This window comes from Homo sapiens, chromosome 2 (assembly GCF_000001405.40).
Source record: "Homo sapiens chromosome 2, GRCh38.p14 Primary Assembly".
NCBI classification, from domain to species: Eukaryota; Metazoa; Chordata; class Mammalia; order Primates; family Hominidae; genus Homo; species Homo sapiens.
In genome coordinates this window covers 26497226-26523656 of record NC_000002.12, presented here as the reverse complement: position 1 = coordinate 26523656, position 26431 = coordinate 26497226, and the positions used below count along the sequence as shown (strand labels likewise).

Sequence of the window (26431 nt, the reverse complement as noted above, 5' to 3'; positions counted from 1 at the left end):
GCAGAGGGTAGGTATACAAGGTGGGAGAGCCTTTGAGAGGGAATCGGAGTGGCCCCTCTTCTCTGAAGGACTCAGGGCACTCAAGGGTGACACTCAGCATCACATGACCGATGCATTTGGGGAAATTGAGCTAAAAGAGGCATGGAGGAGCTGCCTGGGAGAGTGGGTCCCAGGACGAGAAATGAGCCTGATCCCATCACTGCCATCTCAGAGAGAGAGACTTGTCCTAGAAGCAGAGAGTAGCTTGGAAACTGGCCCCTCACCCAGTGGTTCTAGAGGCTGCCAGGAGGCAGAGACATGGTATGAAGGAAGGAGGCATCCTAGGCAGAAACCAGGAGACCTCCAGGTCTGCTTGGCCCCGTTTGGAACAAAGACCTGTGTCCAGGAACCTTGGGCTTCCCCATGAGAAAGAAATGTTCGGTTCAGAAGATTTTGTGCATCCAGCTCTGCCTGTCCGGGACCTCTGAGGGTCCATGGCCTGGCCTCCAGCCTCCTGCCTGCTAAGGATGCCAGGGACCCTGAATAATTCAGGAGCCAGGACAGCAGGAGAGGCCTCGCAGGGCCCAGGACACCTGACACGGGCTCCCAGGGGAAAGTGATGAATTATTGACAGGATTCTGGTGCCCAGTTGCCGCTCTATTGTGATCAGTCTGTGGGCCCATCTGGGCTGGAGGCCTTTTCCTGCCGGCTAATTACGTGGGGATCTTAGCTCTGCCCAGCCGCCCAGCCCCTCGTGGGGCCAGACAGCCTCCTGTGAGGGGTGTCCTCTTTGCCATGGTGACCTGGATGGCCCTGTAAGGCAAGTAGTCAGAGGACATGGAGTTAGCCCCAGATCCTTTGCCTGACAGCCCCAGGGAAACTGAGGCCCAGAGAGGCCTCTTGTCCAGGGTCACACAGCAGGTTCAGGACAGTCAGGTCTTCACCCCAGGCCTCCTGACACCCGGGCCAGTGCTCCTTCCCACAGAACACATGGCCTCACAACTCCATTTCTAGGGAAATGACTCAGCTGTCTAAGGAGCATATGAGCCCACCCTTCCTCAATCGTCCTGGGCCCCACTCTCCCAGGCAGCTCCTCCATGCTGACCCATGCAGAGGAGTAAGAACCTACTATGTGTGCAGCCAGGATGCACAAAGGCCAGCTGCGGCGGGCAGGGTCGCCTCTGGGGTCACCACAAGGGCCAGAGCCAGGGGCTTCTCCTACCTCTTCCTGTCCCAGCTTCTTCCCAAAGAATATCTATAGAAGACGGGCTGAGGGATGGCATCCTAGAAGCAGTGCCAGGGCCTTTGTTTTGAAACTGTTTTCATGGCAAGCACTGTGTTTTTGCTTAAATGGTATGTTACAGACCTGTAGAAAGAGTCAAGGTTTATAAAACTGCTTTTCTTTATACTTTACATAAGGCTGAGATAATATCAATTGTCCATGTCAAAAAATATAATTTTTACTTTTATTTGAGAGAGGTTGGGGGGTGAACTGTTAGGAGTTAAAACCCCCCAAGCCACTCTTGGAGGTGTGGCAAATTGATTCCTTTAATCTTGCAAGCTCCTAGCGTCCCAGTCCCACCCTCCAGGCCATAGACAAGCTCTGGCTGTGCGAGGCTGTGCACAGCTTGAAGGGTGGGGGACTGCCTGGACCTGCCCCTGAAGCCCATCCTGCAAAGGAGACTCGCCCTGTGTAGGCTCTCCAGATGGCCAGCCCTGCTCATTATTAGGGAGGGAGGAGGGGCTGGCATCCGAGTGCCGGTGTTGGTAGAGGAATTTCACATGAGCAGTCTCCTCACCACTGTCCGGTGGAAGTCGGAGGGCTATAGCAGAAGGAGCCAAAACCACACTGCTGCCAGGAGGTGGAATCTCCCTTGGGTCCTGCTGAGTGAGCCCACATCTGTCTGACTCCAGAGCCCAGGCTCCTCACTGTCTACACCGCTTCCCTTTAGGGATGGAATTAATCTGCATGTGGACAGGGCTTGGACCAGGGTAGGAAGAGTAGGGGATTTGCCTGGAGGCCAATCTTGCTCAGCACACTGTGTGATTAAGGCAGTGGCTGAATGGACTACCAGTGACAGCCCCATCACTGTCACCACCACCGGAGTATCTAGCAGGGACTTAAAAGCACATGTCAGGGAGGTTGTTTCAGGGATTCCTCCTGGAAGGGGCGCTGGACAAGGTCTCTCAGGTTCTTCCCAAGTATAAGATCTGAGATTCAGGCAGGTTAAGCCTAGAAGGCACCAGACGCCTCTGTGAGCACTTGCAGGGGGAATAGCTCCACCCTGCCCCCTGGGAGTGTCTTGTCACATTGCAGCACCTCTGCGGATCCTGGGGAGCTGCCTTGGCTGTTCTTAGGCATCTAATTCTGGAGAAAGATGTGCCTGATCGCCCCACGCTCAACAGGTGCTCGACAGGTCCTAGGGGAATCAAGGCAGCTGAATAGCCATCCACAAAGGGTAATAGTAGAGCAGGGATTCTCAAAGTGTCTCCCCAGCCAGCAGCTTCAGCATCACCTGGAAACTTGTCAGAAATACACATTCTCAGGCCCTCTCCCACCCACTGAATCAGAGCCCTGGGGTCGGGGCCAGTGGTGTGAACTGAAGTCCGGTGGACCCAGTTTGGTGACTTCACATTAGAAGCTTGAAGTTGGCCATGGCGGGAGTATTTATATCTCAGAAACCAGCAAATGCTACAGATGAGCACCTCTCCTCTCCCACCAGTGACACATTTTCCAGCATATCCACAGAAGAGGATATCCCAGCCGTGCATGTTTTCACAAGCCCTCCAGGTGATTCTGCTCATGCTGAAGTTTGAGAACCACTGATTTAGAACAAAAAGGGGTGAGGCTGCAAAAAGATGAGTGTATTTTTTCGTGCCCGTGGTCTACTGTTAGAATGTCTACATGGTACGGAAGCTAAAAGTCCCCTTCCCTCTTCATTTTATAAAGACCAAATTGAGACTCAGGGGCAGCAGCTCCAGGGCTCCTGGCCCCCAGCCCAGCACTTCTGTCTCTGGGGCACTGCCTGAGCTGGGAGAGGTGCATGCAGCTATGGAAGAAGGCTTCCATGGGCTGCTCTAAGGGCCCAGAAGCCCAGTTCGGCTTTAGAGTGAAGGAGTGGCGTGGTCAGTTTCATCCTCAGGGAGGTGGGGCACAATGGTGGTTGGGGCTCTGAGCTCCAAAGGGGAGCATTTCATATCCATTCCTCATGGCTGCCCCTACCACTTCCTCCCCTCACACAGATGGGAAGATTTTTAAAAAATCAATGTTCACCCTCCACAGACCTCAGGGTGGTAGAGACATGAAGCATGTCTGAGTCAGAATTCATCTGATACCTCACCTCACCCAGATCTACCATTAATTAGCTGTGTCCCTTCCCCTTCCATGGCCTCACTGTCTTCCTCTATAAATCTCAGGCAGCATCAGATGATGCCCAAGGTCCCTTCCAGCTCTCACACGCCCTGGATGCTTCCCTCCCCTTTGTGCCTTCAGCTAGAAATGGTGTGTGTATTCTAATCCACTCTATGTGGAAGCACCATGTAAGAACGTCTGTCTGAGTTCCCTGTTCTCTCCCAGAGCAACAAACAGCCTTCTGACTGTGGGGTGCAATGGGGTTGAAGTCAACTCCATCAGCATTTATTGGGCACCCACTGTTGTTCATTAATTCAGCCAGCAGATATTGAGATCTCTAGTGTGCTAGAAATGTCAAACAGAGGCTAGAATAAAAAGCACCACCCATGCCCTTGAGAGGTTCACAGTTTAGAGGCAGTACATGAATCACGACAAAACGGACTGCTTTGGAGTGCTGGCTGTGTGCTGGGGGCTTTGACAAGAACACTCGCAGATGATCTCATTCAGTCCTCCAACAACAACTCTGTGAAGTAGGGCTTATCAGCTCATCTTATGAGAAAACCGACACTGAGAGAGCTTAAGGAAGTTGCCCAGGAAGCAGGTAGCTTGCTAGTCAGTGTCAGAGCTGGGTTCAGATCCCTGTCTCTTTGATGCCAGGACTGTGCTGTTAACCAAAGCATTGCACCGCCTCTCCCCTGCTGTGCAGTTCCATGGGCTCTGCCATCACACAGGTTCCTGCCATCCAGGAACTTACAGGCTGCAGATGTGGAATGGATGAGTGAGTGCTGTTGGTGTGGGCTGGAAACCTTGGTCATGGTTAGGCGGGTAGAAGCCGGAGGAGCTACTTGTCCATCCAGGAAACTCAGGTCCTTTCCCAGCCTCCACACTGAGCATCTGGAAGCTTCTCTGCAAGGGCTCAGCTAAAGCTGGATTTCATGCACCTTTCCCCGCAGTCTGTAGACATCCCCTAAGGGTGCTCACTGCCCCTTGGAGCTCTCCCAAGGAAATGGGCCTCCCACAAACAACCATCCACAGTGGGACATGCTGCCCTGGCTGCAACCAGTCCTGGCTCCTGGGCCACCTTCTCCAGCCCAGCCCAGAGCTGGAGCAAGCCCACCTGAGTCCTCCCCAAGCAGTCACAGCCCTTGGGATGTCAGTCTTGCTCCTCACCCTGGTCTCTTCCATGTTACCACCGTGCCCCCTCTGCCATCCCCAGGCTCATCGGGACCTTCCGCATGGTGCTGCAGAAGGTGGTAGAGGAGAGCCATGTGGAGGTGACTGACACGCTGATTGATGACAACAATGCTATCATCAAGGTGGGTATGCCCCACGGAGTTCCTGGACTTTCCCATATGGGGCCATCTGGGGGTCTGTTCTCCCTGCCTCACACATGGGGTGGTCTGGGGAATGCCTCTCATGCATGGCGAGGTGTCGCAGGAGGAGGAGACTCAGGTCAGACTCTGCTGGAATGGCTCAATCTGTGGCCATGGCTGGAGGCCCTGTGGCATGGCAGGGTCTGCTGCCCCACAGTAGGCACCCCTGCCCTTCCTACGGTGGGAATGCACCAACTGGTCCTTCCATTTGGACCCAGCTCAGGAGTCACTAAAGAGGCTCCTTTTGTCATCCAAAGGCCAGACTGAGCCCTGCTGGCACTCGAGGGCATGACCTTCACTCTGCACATCTGGCTCGGGTCCTCCCTGGGAGGGCAGGGACCTCATTTCCTATTGTTTGTCACATCCCAGCACTTTTGCGTGAGCACGCGTGCACTAGTGATGCACAGTCTAGAGGCACCTGACACATGTTCTAACAAAGAAGGAAGCAACCCTACCAGGACAGCCTGGCCCCAGGCTCTGCTCTGATTCTTCAGTCCTCTTGAGCTCAGCCGTGGCCACTCATGGGCAGTTGGCATGATGGTGAGGAACAGGGACCCTGAGTATGAATCTTAGGCTGCTCACTAACTGTGTGACTTAGGCAAGCTACATATCACCTCAAAGTGAGCACAATTACATTATCCACCTCCCAGGACTATTCTGAGGATTAAAGGACAATACACAGAAAGTACTTAGCACAGATATGCACAATAAATCTATAATATTGTTAGCTATTATTTCCTGACCTCAGTTTACCTATGTATAAAATGGGACTGTGCCATGGTCCCCCAGTGGGGTCCTGTGTAATATATGGCCCTATGTAGTGGCCAAGAGAAACAGCCTCAGAAGCCAGGACTGCAGCCACAGGGAGCTAGAACAGAAGGAACCCTCTTCTCCCATGGGCAGGGGTGGCAGGGAGGGCTTCTTAAAGTTACCGGGGTCTCAGCCACCACAGCAAGGGGAGAAGGGGTGCAGAATAAGCTATGTATGGACACCCATGGGAAGGCGGGCTGGGAGGAGAACACAGAAACCTGGATGAAGAGTGTAGTGTGGGAAGTGAGATAAGAGAATTGGGGAGTGAGCAGGGATGGACAGACAGCACAGCCCATGCCCTGGATTTTCAGAATCAGACTTAAGATGTCAGCAGAGGAAAGGACTCACGGATCTCCTAGCCCACTTGCCACCCATCTCCGCTACCCATTGTTATGAATGGGAACAATGAAGTCCTGGATGGGGAATGGATTCGGCCACAGTTGACAGCAGGGCCAGCACGGAGACCCAGGACTTCCAATGCCAGAGACCACCATTTTCCCATAACAACATACTTGGTTCCACCAAGAGGGTCCCATTTGTTCCAGAAAGGACATGGGGCTTGGAGTTAGGCAGCCTGGGCTCAGATCCCAGCTCCAGTACTTCCTAGCTGTGTGACTTAAAGCAAGTAACTTAACCTCCTGATATGCTAGGTAAGGTAGGTTGCAATGTTGAAAAGATCAAATGAGTGTACATTAAAGCATCTTAGCATGATGCCTAGCACAGTGAGGATTCAGAAAATATGTGCACCTTTCCCTTCCCTTGGGAAATCTAAGCCTGGGTGCTGGAGCATCCAAGCACTGAGTGAGGGCCGCCTGTCTGGGGCACAGGACCAAGTCACCTCTAGACCAGTGAGGAAGGGTGATCCCTGTGCACTGGGGGGGAAACTAGAGCTGCAAGAAAGTAATGGCTCCAGGACGCAGAGCAGGAAGCCCAATCATGACTCTCCACTGCTAAGCCTGAGCCCGGTTGAGTGCTCTACTTTTTGCCAGAGGAAAACCCTAGGGCAGCTCCCAAGATTCCCTCCCTCTCCAGGGTAGGAAGGGTGAGTGTGAGCCTGGGCCCTGGGCTCCTCTCCCGGAGGCCACTTTCAGCTCATTCTGTCCATTTCCAACAAGCCGATTTCTGGCGGGCCGCGCCTCATGCCTGCAGGCAGCCCTTGTTCTGAGGAGAGGAGGTGGCCTGATCATGGGGATGCTGAACGACACTCTCGGTTATGTAGACAGTGGACTCGGGGGGTGAGTCCAGGCTCAGTTGTCCTGGGCAGGCCAGGCCCCTCCACCTTGAGCACCAGGGAGGAGTGGAACCACCAGCAGCGGGACCTGGAGCCAGGTACCAGTAAGCTGACCCGGTCTGCACAAGTCAGCCTTTCAGAGCCTCTGTTTTCTCATCAGCAAAATGGGGCAGAGGGGATCATACCATCCTGACCTCCTCCAGTGAGGCAAGGGTGTGGAAGCGCTGTGTAAACACCACCAAGCAGCCACATATACGGGGTGGAGATTGCTGTCACCATCCCAGCTGCTCACCACCGCCTCCCTCCCTTCAGACCAGCCTGTGCGTGGAGGTCCGGTATCAGGCCACTGACGGCACAGTGGGCTCCTGGGACGATGGGGACTTCCTGGGAGATGAGTCTCTTCAAGAGGAAGAGAAGGACAGCCAAGAGACGGATGGACTGCTCCCAGGCTCCCGGCCCAGCTCCCGGCCCCCAGGAGAGAAGAGCTTCCGGAGGTAACAGGCAGGACCCCTCTGGCTGCCCACTGCTCCCAAGACACGGGGAAGAGACCTGGGGCCTGGTCCTACTGACAGGCCTCTCTAGGCCTAGCTGGGCTCAGAGTACAGGGCTGAGCTTCTGGAGAGACATCCAAGGGGTGGGAAGATGTTTCTGTAGCCCCCCACCCAGCCGTCCACCCCCGAGGTCACTGGGCAGGGAGCAGGAGACTCAGATGGAGCTGCAAGGCCAAGGCCTCCCCAGTGGCCCTGAGGGAGGTGGAGCTCTAACACAGGGATGGGGCTAGATCTCCTGCCTTTCTCAGAGAAGGGGAGTTGGGGATAGGAGGGCCCCTGGCCTCTCTGGTTCAAGACCCAGCAGTGTCCACCAGGTGCCGGCAGCCTGACCTCTACCCTGGCCCAGTGAGGAGGCCCAAGAGAGGGCAGCTCTTCCTGCCAGAGTGAAGCCAAAGATCCTGGCTGGGCCCTGGCCTTTCTTCCTCTTGAGAAGGGAGGGTACCCGGGAACCCCCAGAATCCAGCGTCACGCCCTGCAAGTGTCCTGCCACCTATGGATCACAGGAAGCTGGATCCAGGACAGCTCATTCCACGTGCACTATTTTTACAAAACAGAAAATGCAATTGTATTACTATTAGAGACCAAGGGGACAGAATCTGGGCTAGTCTAGTAAGATGTTGTCCATGGGTTCCTAAGTCACTAGGAATTATGTGTTAAATGCCAGTAAGTCAAGGGTGCATCTGAAGGACCAGGGTGTGTTTTGAGAAGGGACCCTCCGTGCCACTGGAAACATATCCCTGTAAGCTCCTTCCACGCTTTCCTTTCCAAGTAAAGTTTACTCAGTCCCTCTGCTGAAGAAACCATAGGTTCTAAATTAGTGTAATTGAACTGACATACTTTTATGGGACAAATATGTTTTCTCCTTTGCACTTGAATGAGTTCACACCCCCTTAAGCACCCCTCACACACAGGTGCATGAGTGCACACGTGTGCACATACACATACACACACACACACAAGCTTCAGAAACCCTGGGAGCCAGATGAGTAATAGTAACAAGGTCAAAGTGACCAGGCCTGCAACAAACATGGCGGGACTGTCTACTCCAGGCCAGCCACGGGCATGGGGCAGCCCCAGGCTAGCTTAAAGCCTGTCCCCTCAGACTCCTGGCTCTTTAGCAGAAAACCCAGGCCTGAGTCCTAGCTCTGCCTCTTACTAGTCGTGTGACCCTTGGCAAGTCTCTGACCCTCTCTCCTCACCTGCAAAGAAGGACATAGCAAGGAAATCCCCCTGCCCTGCTGCTGGGAGAGCCGGAGGGATCACAGAGGAACAGGTGGCAATGGAGGTGCTGAGCGCTGCCCATGTCCAGGCTGGTGACAGACAAACAGGTTTCTTGTAGCACAACAATGCAAAGAGTCAGGAATCGGGTTGGAAATTGTGAGAAGAGGAGCAGTGCTCAGACGGGGAGTGAAGGGATGCTGACTCAGTGGGCACCACCTGGTCCTCCTCGACTGTCTCCATTCAGAAAAGAGGTTGGCAGGGCTGGTCCAGAAACCAGAAGCCGGGCTCTAAGAAAGAGCTTCCAGAGAACAAGATCGGAAGCCACACAAGGGCCATCAGTCACAGGGAAAGGAATGCTGACCCCAAATCAGGAGAGCTAAGGCCCATTAAGTCCCATCTTGACTGTGCCACTCATTGGCTGAGTGACACTGGGCATGTCACCAGCCCCTGTAGGTCAGTGACAGGAATGGGTTCAGCAAGTTACATCTGGCTCCCCTCCAACTCTGAGGTCCTAAGGGACCCATGGATGCTCCGGACCTGTGGGTCACATCCATGGGAAACAACATCCTGGGAGCCCTTAGCAGCCACGAAGGCAACCTCCCTGGGGTGGCGTAGCAACACAGAGCCAGTTTCTCACTCAGTCCTAAGAGAGTGGGCCAGGGTGCTGATGGGGGCTCTGGAGAGCTTAGAGTCCCAGAGAGCCCTAGGCACCAGGAATCTGGAGATAAGAGGGCTCCCCCGACCCTTCCTCACAGCCTGGTGGCTTCCCCACCTCTCCCCATCTTCGTGTGGCCCCTCCCAGGGTAGCAGCAAGAAGCGGGAGCAAAAGGAGGGGCTTCACCCCGGACTGGGAATTGGGAGAGGGTGACAGCCGAAGCCAGGCACCCCCACCCTGCATTGCAGGGGCAGTGTGCAGGAGCACAGTTTCCCTGCTGCCACTGGGGCTGCCAGCCCAGGTTTGAGAGCACATTGGGGACAGGCATCGCTGCTACACCTTCTCCCGCCAGGCCTAGCCATGCAGCCAGCAGGCCTGGTTGTGGAAAAGAGGGGTTGAGAAAAATTCTAGAGATGGGCCATTTGCTGGTGAGGAGAAGGTGGAGCGGGTTCAAGAACTTGGGGTTTTCCTGTAGCTTAATCCTGGCTGCCCATATGGGGCCATTGAGTTCTGGGTCAAGGAGTGCTGAGGTGAGGAGGGGGACCTGGAAGCTGGCCCCGCAGCCCTAGATGTTGCATCTCACCCTTGTCACATAGTGTGGGTTCTGGGAGGAAGCCAGAGAGCTCTCCAGAAGGGACTTGGCCAACCTTTTATCAGGAAAACACCTACTCCTTAAAGAGGACAACACCGGGGAAGGGGTGTCAGTGCCTCACCTCTGACCCCGTTAGGAGCCCAGGCAGGCTTCCCCTGCATCTGCTCCCTGCCCTCCATCCTCTCCTGGGAAGGCCAATCCCCTTATAGATCAGGGTATTCAATAACCACAGTTCCCTCTTGTTCCTGCTTTAGCCACAATGAGCAAGAGGAAAATCCCGTTGCTGGCAAGCAGCAGTGTCTCACCGGCCATCTTGACCGTTAGGGTCCGGCGTGGGGATCAGCCGCTCCCTGGCTGATGGGGTGAAATGAAGGCCTGCTGGGGGCTGCGGGGAGGTAGACTGAGTGGGCAGGAAACAGCCTCAGCCCAGACAGGCCCCGGGCAGCCCAGGCTGGAATCTTCCACGGATGGAGGGGAGGCTGATGCCAGGAGATCCTCTGGGCACTCCTCACCTCTCCCTCCAGGGCCTGGGTCCACCCCCCAGCCCTGCCCTGCCTGGCCTGCTTCTCTGGGACTTCACCCACATTCATCCTGTCCTCACTCTGGGGGTCAGATGGTTCTAAGCAGGGGCAGTGTGGACCTCAGGCCTCAGCTGCTGTGACACTCACTCCTAAGACCCTAAGAATCTGCCATGAAGTTACCCCGTTCCTCCTCAGGGAATCAGTATGGGGGCTCTGCCTGAATGACCACCAACCCCACCGCCCACTGACTCTCTGCCCCAACGATTCCACCTCCCCTAGGCCCTGGTCAGCCGCATGCCCTCTGAGCCACTCTGCCCACTTCTCTAGTTCCTGCCACGAAGCCCTGATTTCTGCCGGCTTTTTGCACAATGCCCCCGGTAATGTGCCAGGAAGCTGTGCTGTGTGACAGAGCACAGGCTCCACTCACAGCTCTGCTATTGGGAACCCCCCTCCCCATTTGTGAGATGGGGCTCAAGGATGCCTCACAGAAGTGCCAGGATTGAGTGAGGTGCACCTGCGAGTCATCCACCCCTGTGCCTGGCATGTGGCAGGTGCTCAGCCAGTGTTCACTTCCTTCCTCTTCACTGACTCCATGTTACCCTGATGTCAACTTCTACCCCGAGCAGCACCTGACCCTCTTGTTCAGGTGCTGTCCAAGCACCTTCTCAGCTCTTGCTCCCCACCCTATACCAAGGGCTCTGCAGAAGCTGCCCACACAGGAGCCTTACTGGCCCAGGGGCAGGTATAGGGAGCTCATTTACTCAAAGTTCCCCTCACCTCCCCAGGCTCTCAGTGTTGCAGAGATGTAATGAATCCCTAACCTCATGGGCGCTCCACTCTCAGCAGCACAAAATCAGTGTTCCAGACCCTTGCATGGCAGCGTATGCCTGCCCTAGTCTCTGGAGAGAAAGTGACTTCGGCCCTGACCACACTCACATGCACACACATGTGTACACAAGTGCCCATGTGTTTGCACACACTCACATGCACTGCATGACACCAGGGAGGACTCTGGATTCTGGGCTCTGCTGTTGATGCTGTCTTTAGGAGTCACATCTTAGAGAGGACAAAGAAAGAAATCCCAGCTTTAGTCTTGCAGCTAAACTGTAGAGACCTGAGCCTTTCCTCCTGAGTCCCAGTATTCTGCGACTATCTCCTCTTCTCATTTTCTCCACCTGGCCTGGCTCTCCTGCCCTCCACGACCCCCACCTCCTTCTGCTGCCCAAACCCTCTTCTGCTGGTCTCCTCTCTGCTGGGTCTCATCTGGGAGGAGTTTGGGGCAGGAGCCACTTTTCTCATTCTCCTTATTGATCATTCTTCCACTCCAGTGGAGGCCTGCAGAAGCCAGGTAACTTCCTCCTATGCTGGGGCCAGAGGGCAGTGGGGCACGTGTGCATGGTGGGGCTCTGAGACAGAGGGGCAGAGAGTGGGCATGCAGAAGTGTGTGCATGTGGGGCCAGTACATGCAGCCTTACCCCAAGAGTGTTTTTAAATCGGTTTCCACAGCCCCTAGAGAGCTAGAAAATCCTCTGCTGCCTTCCTTCTCCAGGCTGAGCCCCAGAGTTGCAGCAGCTCCCAAAGCTGCTCAGATGAGCCGGGGCAGCCGGGCGCACTGGGATTTTGTGCTTGAGACACATTCCTCCTCCTATGCTGTGAGCTCTTCTCCGCTTAGTAGTCTCAGCTGATGTGGGCAGCCGAGGCCTGGCTGATGTTAACACCTTTGAATTACAGACTGACCTGCTTGCCCAACGTAAAGGTTAGCTGGCCAGCGCTGGACTGCAGCTGTGCTGTGTCTAGGCCTTCAGGTCTTGAGCCATCAGGATATGCAGTCAAGTCTACCTGGGCAAGGCCTGTGCCAGAACAGGGTGTGAGGAGAGGAATAATTTGCTAATTGTTATTCACTTTCCTGTCTTCATCCTCATTGCCACAGCACTGGGAAAGCATTGAGAGAACATTCCAGAAAAGTTTTCTGGAAGCCTCCCTAAAGTGAGATAGGGGGGCCGTTTTTCCCTGCTCTGAGCCCTGGAGTGGTAGCTCACTTACCGCCCCACCTACACCCCTAGAACTGCCCCCAACCACCCGTGTGCACTCCATAGCAGGACCCCCAGCCCTGCCTCACCCTCACAGAGCAGGCTTAGCCCACTGTTCCCCTAGAGGCCCCCAGAGCCTGGGAGCTCCCACCCCATTGGAGGGGAGCAGGGGAGCAGGGGAGCCGGTGGGCAGAGGAGCAGGGTGGCCCAGGCCGGGAGGGTGGCCAGGCTCATCTAACCCTGTGTTCCCTGAGGAAGCTGCGACCCACATTGTGGAATCATCAGATCTTAGCCTGGTAGGGGCGATGAGCTGAGGCCCTGAGGTATCAGAGCTTGGGGTTGGAATAGTGGCCACCCAGGCCCAGCACTGTGGGCCCCTCCCATCTCCCCCAAGGCAGAACCCAGGGCCATGGGACCCCTTTTCTGCAGACCTAGGCTTGCTACCGTGCGAAGCTGTGGGGTGAGAGGTCTGTGGGACAAGGAGGCCCCCGGGGAGCGTGCAGGCCCGTGGGGCCGGGGCTGAGGCCAGTGTCTCTGGTCCACAGCCCCTCACACGTGTCCCCTTGTCTCCTCATTTCTTCCCCCTACTCAGCAAAGGCAGAGAGAAGACCAAGGGAGGCAGAGATGACGAGCACAAGTAGGTGTCCCAGGCGAGGGCAGACGCAACAGCGTCTCTGGGGAGACAGAGGCCTCCTCCCCACAGGCTGTGGAGGGCGGGATGGGCTCGGCTGAGAGGGCTCAGGAGTGGGCTGTCGTGGTAGAGCTGGCACGGGTCATGGAGGCCCAGGGAGGCCTTTTCACCTGGCCACGGGGGTGAGGGATGAGGAGGGGTTAGGGTCGCGGGGGAGGTGGCCAGACCTTCTGGTTTCCACTCTGGGCTCTCGGGGGTGACCATCCTCCTCTCCGTGTCTTGTTCCTCCTCCACTGTTCAGCCCCCATCCTGTGGCCTTCGGGCTTCCCTGGGAGGGAGGGGACAGCTAAAGGCTAAGGGGAGAGGGGCATGAGGACCTCAGGGATCCCTCTCCCAACAGGGGCGAGGTAGGGCCAGGCAGCTGGAGGCATAAGGAGGAGGAACTCTGGGTACCCTTTGCAGCTGCAGGTCGTGGGTGGAGTTGGAGACCCCCAGAAAGCTTAGGAGAGGCCACCATTTGGGCGGCCCTCTCTATCTTCATCTCCCCAAAAGGCTTCCTGGAAAAATGAGGTCAGGGTGCTGTCTGGAGAGGACAGGAGAAGGGTCCTGCAGGTGGGAGGGGCTGGTCACAAGGGTCTGGAAAGATTCGAAGGCTGGGAGTTGTGAATGGGTCTTGTAGGCACCCCTAGAAGCACACTGACATCTGGAGGACTCTAGCATTACGGGATCTCATAAGGGCAGTGGTAGCCAAGGTGGACCATACTGGAGGAGGCCTCTGGTTAACACCTGCTCTTACAGATGACAAATCTGTCTCAGAACAGGGGCAGAGCTGGAACCAGAAGACAGGGAAGCTGACTTCTGACCCAGAGCTCACCATAGACCCAGGAAATTTAGAGAACTTGACTGTATCTAAATTTAATCTAATTCTCCAAACATACCAATGAGAGCTGAAAAGCCAGGAGTGTGGTCTTTTTTATCTTCCAGATAAGCAACCTGAGCCCCAGAGATCTTAAGAGATTTGCTCAAAACTGTGGCCTCAATATATTAAGAATTAGTTCATCTGAAGATATCATGGAAATATCAGGATTGTGTGTTGAGGGGTCTGAACTGATCAACACTGGTGTGGGCTTGGGATATCCACTGGCATTAAGATCCTGGGGAACTCACAGCCTCATTCATTGCTTCAAAAAAAGGTATGAGTTCTAACTCGCATTTGTTACGCACAAGCAAAAGCAATGATGATGCAGTGTTAACTCTGTAGTGATGGAGGAAATGGCGCTGTGTAGGAAGAGCTCCAGCCCAGAGACCTGAAGGATGGAGGAGTTTGCCAGGTTCCCAGTAAGGGAAGACACGTAGGCAGAGCATGTGTCAAGGCTCAGAGCCAGGGAACTGAATCCAGGGTGGGTGGCGATGATGGGGAATGCTGAGCTGGGGAGTCCTCTTAGGGAGTCCTCAAGGGTTCAGGTTTCTCCATAGATGCTTAGATGTAAAGGGCATATGAATGAGATACAAGCAGCCTGTCCATCCCCAGCTTCTCTGCCTGAGATCAGCGATGCTCTAAGGCCCTTCTTGATGCCCAGCTTCCCAGTCTGTCCCAGGCCAGACCCACAGGGACACAGACTGGCCTGATCCCTTTGACTGGCTACAGTTGGAGTAAGAGGTACCTCACAGTGCCAGCACATAGTAGGTCCACCAAAATACTGGTTTCCTAGCACTTCTCTGTCCTAATTTCTTACCATCTCTAATTAGCACATGAGATAAAGTAAACTGGCATATAGTATTGTTATTATTATTATGTGTAGAGCAATAGGACTATTGAAAGAATAGGAAAATGAGATTTCTAAGAAGAGATTGAACAAATTTAAACTCTTTAGCCTGGAGGAGAGAAAACTGTGGAGACAGATTTCAATCTCTGAAATGTTAATGTGTGGCAAAGCTGGTTGGTATCTATCTCCACTGAGAAGAGATAAATGGAAATAAATTTAAGTTGAAGTTAAGTTGAAGTAGAGAAACAAGATTCAACCCACGAAAGAACTCATAGTGTGTGACATTCTGGGATAGGCTGGTTTGGGGAGATGAGAAAACACCCATCATCTTCCATGATGCTGCTTGCTTGAGCCTTGCAAAGGGCTGGGCCGCCAGCAAGAACTGAAGAGCCAGCTTCCCTGACAATCCTGGGGTCAGGACAAGTGTGTGTGGGTCCCCCAAGCCTTCTGGTACAACGTGGGCACATGTGCAAACGGGCCAGTTTGGAGACAGGGTGGTTCTTGTATAAAGGGTCAGCCTATCCTGCCCACCTATGGAAAGCTATTCAAAAACTAACTGACATTCAACACACTTTCAAAGACACCTGTAAAGACCAAAATTATGAAATTCCCTGTGCCTTGGGGCATGGAAAATTTTTAAAATAAACCCATTTAGGGGCGCTTGGATAACATGCTCCGAGGTTTTGAAAATTGGGCTGTTTGAGCAATGCAAAGAAGGACCACAGACCCTATTTCTCATAGACAGGAGTCTTTATCCTGATTGATTACCTGAGGCCTGAGCTAATGAGCCTAGTAGTTCCAGTTGAAGCCAGTCATGGGGCAGAAGCCCTGGGCAGTGAATGGACTCGACCTGCAGCTCATTTATGGTCAGGTCTCTATTAGCTTTCAGAATAATCCAGAGACCTGAATTAATGAAACACTCGGGTCACTAAATTTAGTTTGGTGAATGTTCCCAAGTCATTATGAATACTAAGCTCTACCTAGGACCCTGTGTGCACCACACAGCAACACGCTTCTAAATCTGGGCCATAAAATGAGCGGAGAAATCATCAGATTTATAGTTTACAATAAGTGAACTAATTTTAGCATTTTTTTCCTCTAGAGATAAATACCAGTCTAGATTGTAGGTGCATTTCATTCTGACCATGGTGAATGTAGCCACAGGAAACTCAAACGGATTCTAAATCCTCAGAGGGTCCTGGGATACTGGCCTCCCCTTGGCTCTCACTTCTCAAGCTTTAATACGCCCAAGAATAAGGAGCCATTTGATTGTAAAGTGAGTTTTCACTGAGTTGATTATTGGCTTGTTTTCTTTGTCTGTTTCTCACCATATCCTGTTTTTGGTAATTGTAGAACTCAACTAGACCAAATGCAGAATTTTACTTTGAAAACAAAAAAAGGCCAGGACAACGGACACCTCAACAGCAAATTACATTTTTTGAAATCTAAGTCTTTCAGACAAATAGATAATCTTCAAAATTCCCTGATTAAGTTGACATTTATTTCAAAACTCTCCTTTACAGTTTGCCAAGAGAAGTAGGCATACTGCTTTCTGGGAACTGGTGCTGCAATCAGGCAGAAAGGCTTTTTCTATAGTGAACTTCTGATGTGTTACTGATCAGAAAATTACAAAGGCTAGTGGCAGTGATGACATCATGCTGTACTGATCACAATTCAGATTCATTGAAGAGCAAGTCTAGGAGAATCAGAGGTACAGAGCCTGTAGTAAGAATTCTGGAAATTACATCCTTCACTACACATTTCTGCATTTTTAATAAAGGGACAAAGACAATATCCTTTTGAGATATTCCCAGGCACACAGGAGTGCTACCAGTACTACCACTTCAGACAGCTAAAACTATGCAGGGTTGGAAGGGAGAGATTTCTCCTTTCAATTGCTTCAAGGTGTAGTAGAGATAGTTGGACAAGTATAGTTTTTGTTTGTGTGTTTGTTTGAGACAGAGTCTCACTCTGTCGCCCAGGCTGGAGTGCAGTGGTGCGATCGTGGCTCACTGCAACCTCCGCCTCCTAGTTCAAGCGATTCTCCTGCCTCAGCCTCCCGAGTAACTGGGATTACAGGCATGTGCCACCACACCCAGCTAATTTTAGTAGAGACGGGGTTTCACCATGTTGACCAGGCTGGTCTTGAACTCCTGACCTCAAGTGATCCACCTGCCTCGGCCTCCCAAAGTGCTGGGATTACAGGTGTGAGTCACCGCACCGGACCAGGACAAGTATAGTTTTTTAAAGCCTCAATCATTTCTTTCAAATCTGTTTGTGTTAAGAAATAAAGTGACTTTCAAATTCAAGGGCCATAAGTGCCCCAGGGATGCCTCAGGTCCTTTTCCACCTGGGTGAGTCCATGGGACCAGCCTCTGAAAGCCACTATTTCTTGCTACCTTGCACTCCCCCCGGGACTCAGGCAGCAGGGCCAGATCCCATCCCAGCAGGCCGGGCAGCCGGCTTCTCCAGGCAGGGCCTGCTTCTAACCTACCATCTCAGAGCACTTCCCCTCTGGGGAAGTGGGGAAGGGGCAGGGGAGAGGGAAGTCTGTGGCTGGAGCAGGCTGCAATGGCAAAGGCTAACTATGTAGGTCACACATGCGGAAGGGCCAAGGACTCCAAGAATAACACAGCCTAGGAATGGCCAAGAAGTAATGGTGCAAAGTCAAACGCTGAGCCCTGCAGGAGACTCCTGGGTAATTCAGGAGAGACATAGTTGAGCAGCACGGCTGGGCAAAAAGGAATCCCAAGCACTGAGACAGGAAGTGACCCACGAGGAGGCCCACAAAAACTACACTTCTGAAGCTGGGCCTATGGCAGGGGTCAGGACAGCCAGCACCCCTGTCCTTGGGGCCAGCAGGTGGGGCAAAATCCCACAGGATGCTTCAGGGCAAGCCAGCCAGGGTGGTCCTTTCCCCACCATCACACGATTATTTCTGGTGGGTTCATTGATCTGTTCAATGTTATGTCACCAGCAATTTAACATGCACAGCAGTCCCTTCCCAAATGTTTGGGTGCTCAGGTTCTTTTTGAATGAGCCCCTTCTTTGTAAACATGGGTATGATCTGTGAGATTCCACAGATGACAGCATCCTGATCTGTAAACTATGCTGGCACACAGACCATACCTGTACCTATGGGTGCCAGCCCTGGGGCCTTTTAGCTAAAATCCCAAATGGTCAGGAATGGATGGGATTCTTGCCCACAGAAAAGTGCAGTCCTACGGCATCGAGGCAAAGGACCTGAGATGCAGTAAAAATATTGCTGGCCTAGAACACAGGAGCTTTCTGCTTCAATCCCAGTTCTGCCACTCACCGTGTGACCTCGCGATTATTGTCCCCTCTCTGAGCCTCAGTCTTTTTATTGGTTGAATGAGGAGAAGTATGTGGCCCTCAGAGGATTGCCAGGAAGATGAAATGAGCAGACATCTGCAGACATTGCAGACATCTAGAAAGGCCTTTGGCCCTATGTAGTCTCTTTTTGGCCTGTATGTGTGTGTGTGTGTGTCTGTGTGTGTGTGTGTGTGTGTGTAACTCACCTCCCCCATCAGAAGGGAGGAAGCTTTTGAAAATAATTCCAAAGGCATCAGCTTTGATTTTAGAGCCTCTTTCTTTCCCTTTCTTCTCATTGTCGTATTTCAGATGGTATGCTACTGAAGAGTGCAGACACATCAGCCTTCTTCCATTCCTTTTTAGGAATTCAAAGAACATGCTAATGTTCCCTAAATTGTGAGCTGCTGCCACGTGAAAAGGGTGATTCTCAATTGCTCCCTCACTGGGATATGAACGTGCTTTGTCCTGCATATGAACAGTAAAGAAAGGTCCTGGGGTTGGGATAGGGCCAGGTTTGGGGAATAAGATTGGCCCCACAATCCTGAGGAGAGGGGCTTGAGGTTTCTAGGTCATCTGCCTGAGGACAGAAAGGTTTTCCCCAACCTCCTATTGCCCAGCATAAAGAACAAGGATCTGGGGTCTTAGAAACCATAGTCAAGCCTCCACAGGGAGATGTGTGACCCAAAAAGGGTGGACTCTGCTGTAAGCGAGCTCCAGGTTGGAGCCTACACCTGGCTCCACCTGGACCTACAGGATGATGGGGCCATACCCAGGAGGAGGGAGAACGGGAAGTGGAGAGAGTCAGGTATCCACTCATGCAATATGGATGGGGTAATGGAACACTGCACTTTACCCTCTGCTGATCCTGCTCCTGGGGCTTCCTGGTGCCAGGAACCACAGGCTCGGCTGCAGGGACATCACTGAAGGACAGTGAGGACCCCTGCCCCTTTTCCTCAGCCCCGCTGACTGCAAGGCCCTTCACCTGGGGGCACAAGGTCGCAGCAAGCCAGAGGAAGAGGTAGGAACTATGGAGCCTGCCATAAGTTCCTGGGGTTGGGGGAAAGGGGAATTTGGCAGTGAGAGGGGACAGGTAGAAGGGGCAAAATCCAGGACCGAAGATAGATGGGAAAGGGCCTATCTCCCCCTTTTTCATGGGGACCAAGGAGCATCCCAGAACACGGAGAGGTTGGAGAAAGACAAGTCAGGCTTTGAGCACCAGGGCCATCTGAGAACTGAACAGCTCGTTTCAACCACATCTCCCATCTCCTCATCGGCCTCTGCCCCTGAGTCCTCTCTGGTCCCTGCCCCGCCGTTCTGATGCTCTGTCTCCAGTCCTCGGGCTTTCTCTCCAACCAGCTGAGCCGGGGAGGATGAGCGTGGGGACACTGGCAGGGCTCGGAGCTCTGAGGAGACTAGACTGAGGGGCTGGGATCAGACTGAAAAGTCCAAGACCCAGAGGAGCTCCAGTTAAAACGGCTCTTTCCGGCTCAAGACCACGTTCCCTGCTTGCTGGGGACCCCATCCCTCTCCTCCGTGTGTGAAAGGATGGCAAAGGCGGAAGTGGAGGGGTCTCTCACTGCCCTGATTCCCCCTCCTGGCTCCCAATTTGGGAAGACAGATCCCGATCTGTCTCGGGACCAGTAGGTGAGGGGCCGGGTCCATCTCCCTTCTCTGATGTGTTCTCTCATGTTTGGCTCTTCTGTGTTTGTGTGTTTTCCTCCATGCGTCCCTCTCCCTGCACCTCATTCTGGTGGCCCCCCTCACAGAGCCGGGAGGAGCGTGTTCTCCGCCATGAAGCTCGGCAAAAACCGGTCTCACAAGGAGGAGCCCCAAAGACCAGGTAGGACAGGTGCCGCGTGAGCCCCGCAGCCCCGCGCCTCGCGGCGCCCTCCCGCCGCTTTCCAGCCCCTGCCCGGCTGCCAAAAGGCCCTCCTGGGATAGGTCGTCCCAGGGCCAGGCCCCACCCAGTGATGCGTGGCCCTCTAGGAAGGAGACGCCCTAGGGCCGAGGGAGGGAAACGGGCAGCGCCCTCTGTCGGGGGTGCCTGGTTACAAGGCTCCTCCCGCCCTCGTTGCTCCCGGTTCTTCCTTCTTCACGCAGAAGCCCAGTGTTTTAATTAGAGCAGAGAATATCCATCAAGAAACGCTGTTTGGCCAACTCCCTATTTCTGGGGGGAAACCGTTGTCCCACTAGTACGGGGTCGGCGGCAGGCCTCGCCCAAGCGCTCTCACCAGGCTGCAGCCTGGCCTTTGGGGAGGTCCTGGGGCCGCTGGAGGGCGCGGCAGGGCCGGGCCTGGGAGGCTGGAGCAGCAGGTGGCACTGGGCCCTCCCGGAGGAGCGACTGGAGAGGGGAAGACAGCTGCTGCAGAGGAGGCGGGAGGCCTGGAGGAAGACAAGGGGAGAAATGGAGAGGACAGGGGAGCTGGGAGGGGGCCATCTTCTCCATCACGGGCCCACCATCGGGGCTCCCGGCTGCCCTCCCCCAGCATCCCCTCTGTGGCCTACTGGCCCTCAGGCTCTCTCCCCCACCCTCTTGCCCCCATGCCAATTCCAGCCGTGCCCTTCACCTTCTTAAATGGAGAGAGTACAGCTGCTGGCTGAGGACCAAACCCAGCATCCTTGGGTGGCTGTTCGGAATCCACATGTCTGCATCTCATTAGATGAATACACACCAATGCATTAGGTTCTGAATTCCATCAGCTGTTTGATATGGATAAGTTACTTCCTAAGCCTTCGTTTCTGTACCTGTGACATGAGAATAACGCCCATCTTGGCAGGGCACAGCTCTAAGGACTAGAGATAGTCATGTAAAGTCCTGGTGTTGTGCCTGGAACAGAGAGTATCCACCCAACAAATGGTAGCTATTTATTGAGAGGTGCAAAAGTATGGATTCTTTATTCCCTACCTTCTTCCATAAGAGATATTCAGTGCCTAAGTAAGTGGTATACAATAAAAGAGCATTCAATTAAAATAAAAAGGCAAGACCAGACATAATGGCCATTCAAATCCAAGATCGGGATTAGGTAGAAAAACACTGCAGTTATTCAGGCCATAATATTCTAAGCGGTAGCAACTAAGTAAACCTCGAATTTAACTCTCAGCTTTCTGGATGCCAGAGTAAAAGGAGAAATGGTCACTATCTCACCATCAGTCAGCCCACCTAACCAGTCTTTCATCTTCCCCAGATGAACCGGCGGTGCTGGAGATGGAAGACCTTGACCATCTGGCCATTCGGCTAGGAGATGGACTGGATCCCGACTCGGTGTCTCTAGCCTCAGTCACAGCTCTCACCACTAATGTCTCCAACAAGCGGTGAGTGGACGGGAGCCCTGCAACCCCAGCTGCCCCCACCCTGTCAGGCAGGACCTGGCTTGCCATGATTGGAATTTGGGTAGGGAAGAATCAGGGCTCATGGACGGCTTCTTCCTAACCTAACCTTACCCTTTTCTGCTTTTCCTTGGGTGTTTTTCTCACCTCTCTCCCTGCAAAAGCAGAGCACAGCAGCTGCAGGCCTGTTCTCAGGTCCTTGAATACCTCCCAGCCCAAGGAAGCCACAGACCTGCCCACCCCATATTTGAACCTATTGACCCCATGTCTGTCTCTCTGTTACTTCTGCCTTTGATTAGTTCTCTGTGTTGAGGCCTCTGAAGACAACTAATCCTCACTATTCTTGGCAGTGCTTGAGTGTTTAAAGACCATGATTCTGTCCCTCTGCCCACTCCCAGGTCTAACCACTGCCAGTGTCCTCCTCCCCAACAAGCAGTCCCCATACCCCAGGCCTGATGGTACATTCTCTTCCTCAGATCTAAGCCAGACATTAAGATGGAGCCAAGTGCTGGGCGGCCCATGGATTACCAGGTAGGTGGGCACCTGGAGGCCTCATGTCTTTCAGACTCTGCTCTAGTGGGGGATTCTAGCCGGATGTGCATTATCCACTATACTGAGGCATGGATCCAGGGGTCATAGAGAACAACAAGCTGAATATAAGTTCCCAAAGTAAGCTTGTTCCTGGGAGGCATTCCTAGAAGTATCATCAGTAGAGAGATACAAACCCAAAGAAAAGCTTGAGAACTCTGCCTATGCTAATCAAAGCCCTTCCAGTATTTCATGTTCAGTATTGGACTTCATAAAGTGAGAAGCACCTAGAAAAACCATAAAGAGACCAAGAACTACAAAAAAGTATTCAAACAGTTAAAATAAGGGCCTTTGAAGAAAGTTTTCCTGGCATGATTTTTAAATTGTTGTTTTGTATTATTTGATTGCTGGAAGTAATGACGATTCTGTTTATCTCTGGATGGTGAGACTGTGAGTGATTTTTTTCTTCTTTTTGCTTCTCTGTATTTTCTGAGATTAACACAACTTTTTTATTTGTGTGCTTCTAAGACCAGAGACAAAAGACTGAGACAAAGAGAGGTTGACAGCTGTAAGAATGTGAATGTGGCCAACAGTGCAGGCAGGACAGGTGATGAGCATGTCTGGTGGCTGCTGGGACACCATCTCTCAGGAAGGGCCCAGGGACCCTCCATTGCTCCAGACCCTCCCTTGGAGGCTAACAGGACTCAGCTATAAATCAGAAGACTGCTGGGCTTTCCTAGGATTGAGTTAGAATGCTGGCTGCTCAGAGGGGACAGGGCTTGCAAGAGATCTCACCTGGCTGCCACTGCACTTCTGTCCTGGGGATGTTCGGTCTGGGTATCAGCACCAGGCCCCAGAATCAGAGTGAGCCCCATCTACCAGGGTAGAGCTTTATCTCTGATGCCTAGTTCCAGACCCCAAGCACACTAACCCTTCTTTACGGACAACCCCACCTCCCCTCACTCAGGTGATGATGGAAAGGATAAGATGGCACTTTTCTATGTAAAAGGTACATCTGGCCATGTTTTCTCCAGAATATACTTCATCTCCCTTCATCTTTGTTTTAGTTAGTTTCCATCTACTCAGGCAACTGTCTTCCCAGGTGCCTGAAAAACAGCCCCAGGCAATGTCAAACGGACCTGCCCCTGTGGTTTTAAATAACTTCAAGCCATTGGATTCCTTAGGGGTTTGAGAATGCCGGCCCCTCACCTCTGCCAAAACCCAAACACAAAGTGTCCTGAGACTTCCGAGGGCTTTTCCAAGGGATTGGGCTCAGGGCTTTGTTTCTCTGTGTGCTGAGAACTGGAGAATTCCAAAGAACAACGACCCCAACTCAGGTATCATGTCACTGGCCTAAGAGGTAAGGACACATCAAAAATAGAGTCATTATTGTTCATGAAACTTATTTTTGAAGGTTTATTCTATGCCAGGCACTGTGCTAGGAGCTATATATGTATTTCCATTGAAGTTAATGTAATTCTTCAACCACCCAAATATAGGTGTTACTGCATTTATAGGTAAGAAAGTGAGGCCCCAGGAAGGTCAGGAACTTGTCCCAGGTCGTTGCCACTAAGTTAGCCAAGGTTAGAGCCAGGGTTCAAGGCCAGGGGTGTCTGGCCATAGCCATAAGAGCAATTGACTTCTCTATATCAAGCCTTCTAGACAGCTGCTCCCTTCGGGTCCCTGGTTCATCTTCATCTTGCTACTTAGTGCTTGTTTTCCAAACCTTTTCAAACTGCCTCCTACCAGAGACTTTTATTAACTGGACCAGACATTGTCCCCTCCAAAGACTTTTTAAACCGAACTGAACAAAACGGTTGTTGTATTTAACCTGGTAGCATAGTGTTTCCCGACAAGTTCATTCACAATTAACCTTGCAAACATTTGAGTGAGAGCTATGAGGATGCAAATGTGAAATTATTTTCACTTCCAATACATACAGTGTATAATGCAATAAAAGCAGGCCGGGTGCAGTGACTCATGCCTGTAATCCCAGCACTTTCAGAGGCCGAGATGAGTGGATTGCAAGACCAGCCTGGCCAACATGGTGAAACCCCGTCTCTACTAAAAATACAAAAATTAGCCAGGCATGGTGGTGGCGCATACCTGTAATCCCAGCTACTTGGGAGGCTGAGGCAGGAGAATCACTTGAACCCAGAAAGTGGAGGTTGTAGTGAGTCGAGACCGCACCACTGCACTCCAACCTGGGCAACAGAGGGAGACCTTGTCTCAAAAGAAAATTAAAAATAAATAAATAAATAATAAAAAGCAATAAAACCAGATACGACTTCACTCTCTTGGAGACTTTGGGTTTGATGAGATATAAAGACCGCAGGAAGGACACCTCGTTGGTGAGATGTGGGGAGACTTAGCTGAACTCAGATCCAGGAAGGGTTGTGAGGGCTCAGGACCATTCTAAAGGTTATGGCACTGAAAGAAGCCTGGAGGTAAAAGGACCGCGGCGTACCCATGCTCTTTGTTTCTTCCATTTAGAATGCACGTCACGTGTAAACTCTTTCCTGATTATTGCCATCTCCAAGGCAAGAAACCACAGTCACCCCCCTGTGAATGTGCAGTTTCCCCACCAGAGTGAGCAACGCTTGGCACTTGGCAGAGATGTTCTTGGTGGATCAAGGGGTCTTGAGTCTCTTTATTACCATCTCTTCCTGGCACCAAGACTTAATACATTGTCACCCAACATCTCTCCAGTTTTCACCTCCATTTCATGCCCCTGCCACTGACCTGAGGTCCCCAGCCTCAACTGCATGGTTGTACCTACTTTCTACCTGGTCTCCCTGCCCTCATATTGCCTCCTCCACTCCAAACTCCATGCCACCACTGGAGCAAACTTCTGAAAATGCAAATCTGGTCATGTCACATCTCTGCCACCTGGAAAAGTGGGGAGTGGGTAATGGATGTTGCAGAAGGACAGTACTAAAGGGCGCACCAACTCTCATCTCTGGCTCCCAGCAGATGTTCCTGAAGCTGGATCAGGTCCCTGGGAAGCAGGTCACAAAGCATTATTACTCTCGGGTTTTCCCAGGACAGGGGTATAGATTTACCACTCAGCATTATTCCTTGTGATCGCTTTCATGAAGCCACTGGGGAGTATGTCCCTTATCTTGAAAGGAGATGGTGGAATAGTCAGCTGGTCAGTTGGTCCCAGCTGTGGCTCCGTTTGCCTCTTCATCTTCCACCCTGGAAAAATTGAGTCCTCTGCTGATGATTGGAGAGAAGGATGGCCAAGCCCCTCCCCCAGAACCCTGGAGAATGACCAGCCATTTTTTATTTTTTATTTCAAGTGCATCATTTCCCCTTCCTAGAGCCCCAGGAGGGGTGGGAGGCAGCAGGAATGGCATTCCCCTTCCCCCAACACCATGCGCCTGGTGGTCTTTCTCCAGCGCCCTCAGCTTCCTCTCGGGGCTGCCCTTCAACCAGCAATGAGCACCCTCTGGAGCTTCTCTTCCCTCCGTTGCTCCTTCAAGCCTCTGCCCACCTTCCCCTCCACCCTCCGCCTCTACTGCCAGAGCTTCTGCCCAGGTTGTCACCTTCACTGGCTCTGCTACATGGAGGAAGGGAGAAACGTATGAGGCCTGAAAAGGGGGACAGGGAGAAGTAGCCTGTCTTATGGCCATGCCTCGAGATGGAAAACATAAAAACCAACCACTCTCTTGGCAGTGGGAAGAGGACTTGCTGCTGGCTTATCTTCGGTAGATGCCAAAACTATGTCTGTCCGCTTCCCAGTCCTGAGTTATAGAAAGCCTTTTTTATTGTTGGTGGGGGCATTAGTTGTGGAAAAATTCATGGGGTTTTTAAAAATCTTTGGCAAAAAAGGGTTCGTGGAAGTTAAAACTCTACAAACTATTGTGCAAAGAAGGACTTCTAGTGTCCGTTTGCTCTCTTCATAGTAAACTTCTCAGAGCTAAGTTAGTTAGTCCTATTTCCTTTTTAGCTCCCTGAAGGAGCAGTGAATATTGAACTTCTGTGAAGCTCCAGATTCTAAGCTTTTACTTCCGTCCCTTTGTCACTTCACGTTCCAAACGGAAATGTTTGCTTCCTAGTTCAAGTGTCACTTCATTTGTAAATATCCCCTTTCCTGGCAATGTTCTCATTAACATTGGAATTTCTATTTCCTTAACATGATTACTTCTGATGTGTAGATTTTTAATCACCCTCAGGTTATTTTTCAGACTTTGATGGACACTGGATGATCATTTTAGTGGTTATTCTTTTTCATGGAAAGGGAAGATAATTCTCTCAAGTAAAGTCGTATTTAGAAGTTGCATCAAAGCACAACTAAAATATGAAATCTCCAAGATGACAGGCATGAAAAGCAACCTTCGGAGTCGCATTAGAAGAATGTGCCGGGCTCAGTGGCTCACGCCTGTAATTCCAGCACTTTGGGAAGCCAAGGCAGGTGGATCACGAGGGAGACTGAGACCATCCCGGCCAACATGGTGAAACCTCGTCTCTACTAAAAATACAAAAATTAGCCGTGCGGTGGCAGGCGCCTATAATCCCAGCTACTCGG

The 26431-nt window shown here is 52.3% G+C and overlaps 1 protein-coding gene across 2 annotated transcripts in view, besides 4 other annotated features; it reads left to right on the top strand.

Moving 5' to 3' along the window:
* The window catches only part of OTOF (otoferlin), a 101554-nt gene that overhangs the window by 35100 nt on the left and 40023 nt on the right, over positions 1-26431 (top strand). For both annotated transcript variants that reach the window (NM_001287489.2, NM_194248.3), the window contains exons 4-8: positions 4548-4647; positions 7058-7239; positions 19812-19885; positions 21231-21357; positions 21849-21903. In NM_001287489.2, coding sequence (NP_001274418.1) covers positions 4548-4647; positions 7058-7239; positions 19812-19885; positions 21231-21357; positions 21849-21903 — 538 coding nt within the window. The remainder of the gene's footprint in view (positions 1-4547; positions 4648-7057; positions 7240-19811; positions 19886-21230; positions 21358-21848; positions 21904-26431) is intronic.
* Positions 2197-2362: a silencer, noted in NCBI's record as "fragment chr2:26744163-26744328 (GRCh37/hg19 assembly coordinates)". NCBI's record gives its function as "represses an EF-1alpha promoter that drives an FKBP-Casp9 reporter gene in an ReSE screen in phorbol 12-myristate 13-acetate-treated (for megakaryocytic differentiation) K562 erythroleukemia cells {active_cell/tissue: K562(+PMA)}" and the evidence as "EXISTENCE:reporter gene assay evidence [ECO:0000049][PMID:32094911]".
* Positions 11385-12308: an enhancer, noted in NCBI's record as "H3K4me1 hESC enhancer chr2:26734217-26735140 (GRCh37/hg19 assembly coordinates)". NCBI's record gives its function as "activates a minimal SCP1, AML or CMV promoter by ChIP-STARR-seq in naive H9 embryonic stem cells {active_cell/tissue: H9 hESC(naive)}" and the evidence as "EXISTENCE:reporter gene assay evidence [ECO:0000049][PMID:30033119]".
* Positions 17521-18021: an enhancer, noted in NCBI's record as "H3K4me1 hESC enhancer chr2:26728504-26729004 (GRCh37/hg19 assembly coordinates)". NCBI's record gives its function as "activates a minimal SCP1, AML or CMV promoter by ChIP-STARR-seq in naive H9 embryonic stem cells {active_cell/tissue: H9 hESC(naive)}" and the evidence as "EXISTENCE:reporter gene assay evidence [ECO:0000049][PMID:30033119]".
* Positions 19818-19947: a silencer, noted in NCBI's record as "silent region_11274". NCBI's record gives its function as "represses an Ori minimal core promoter by ATAC-STARR-seq in GM12878 lymphoblastoid cells {active_cell/tissue: GM12878}" and the evidence as "EXISTENCE:reporter gene assay evidence [ECO:0000049][PMID:35858748]".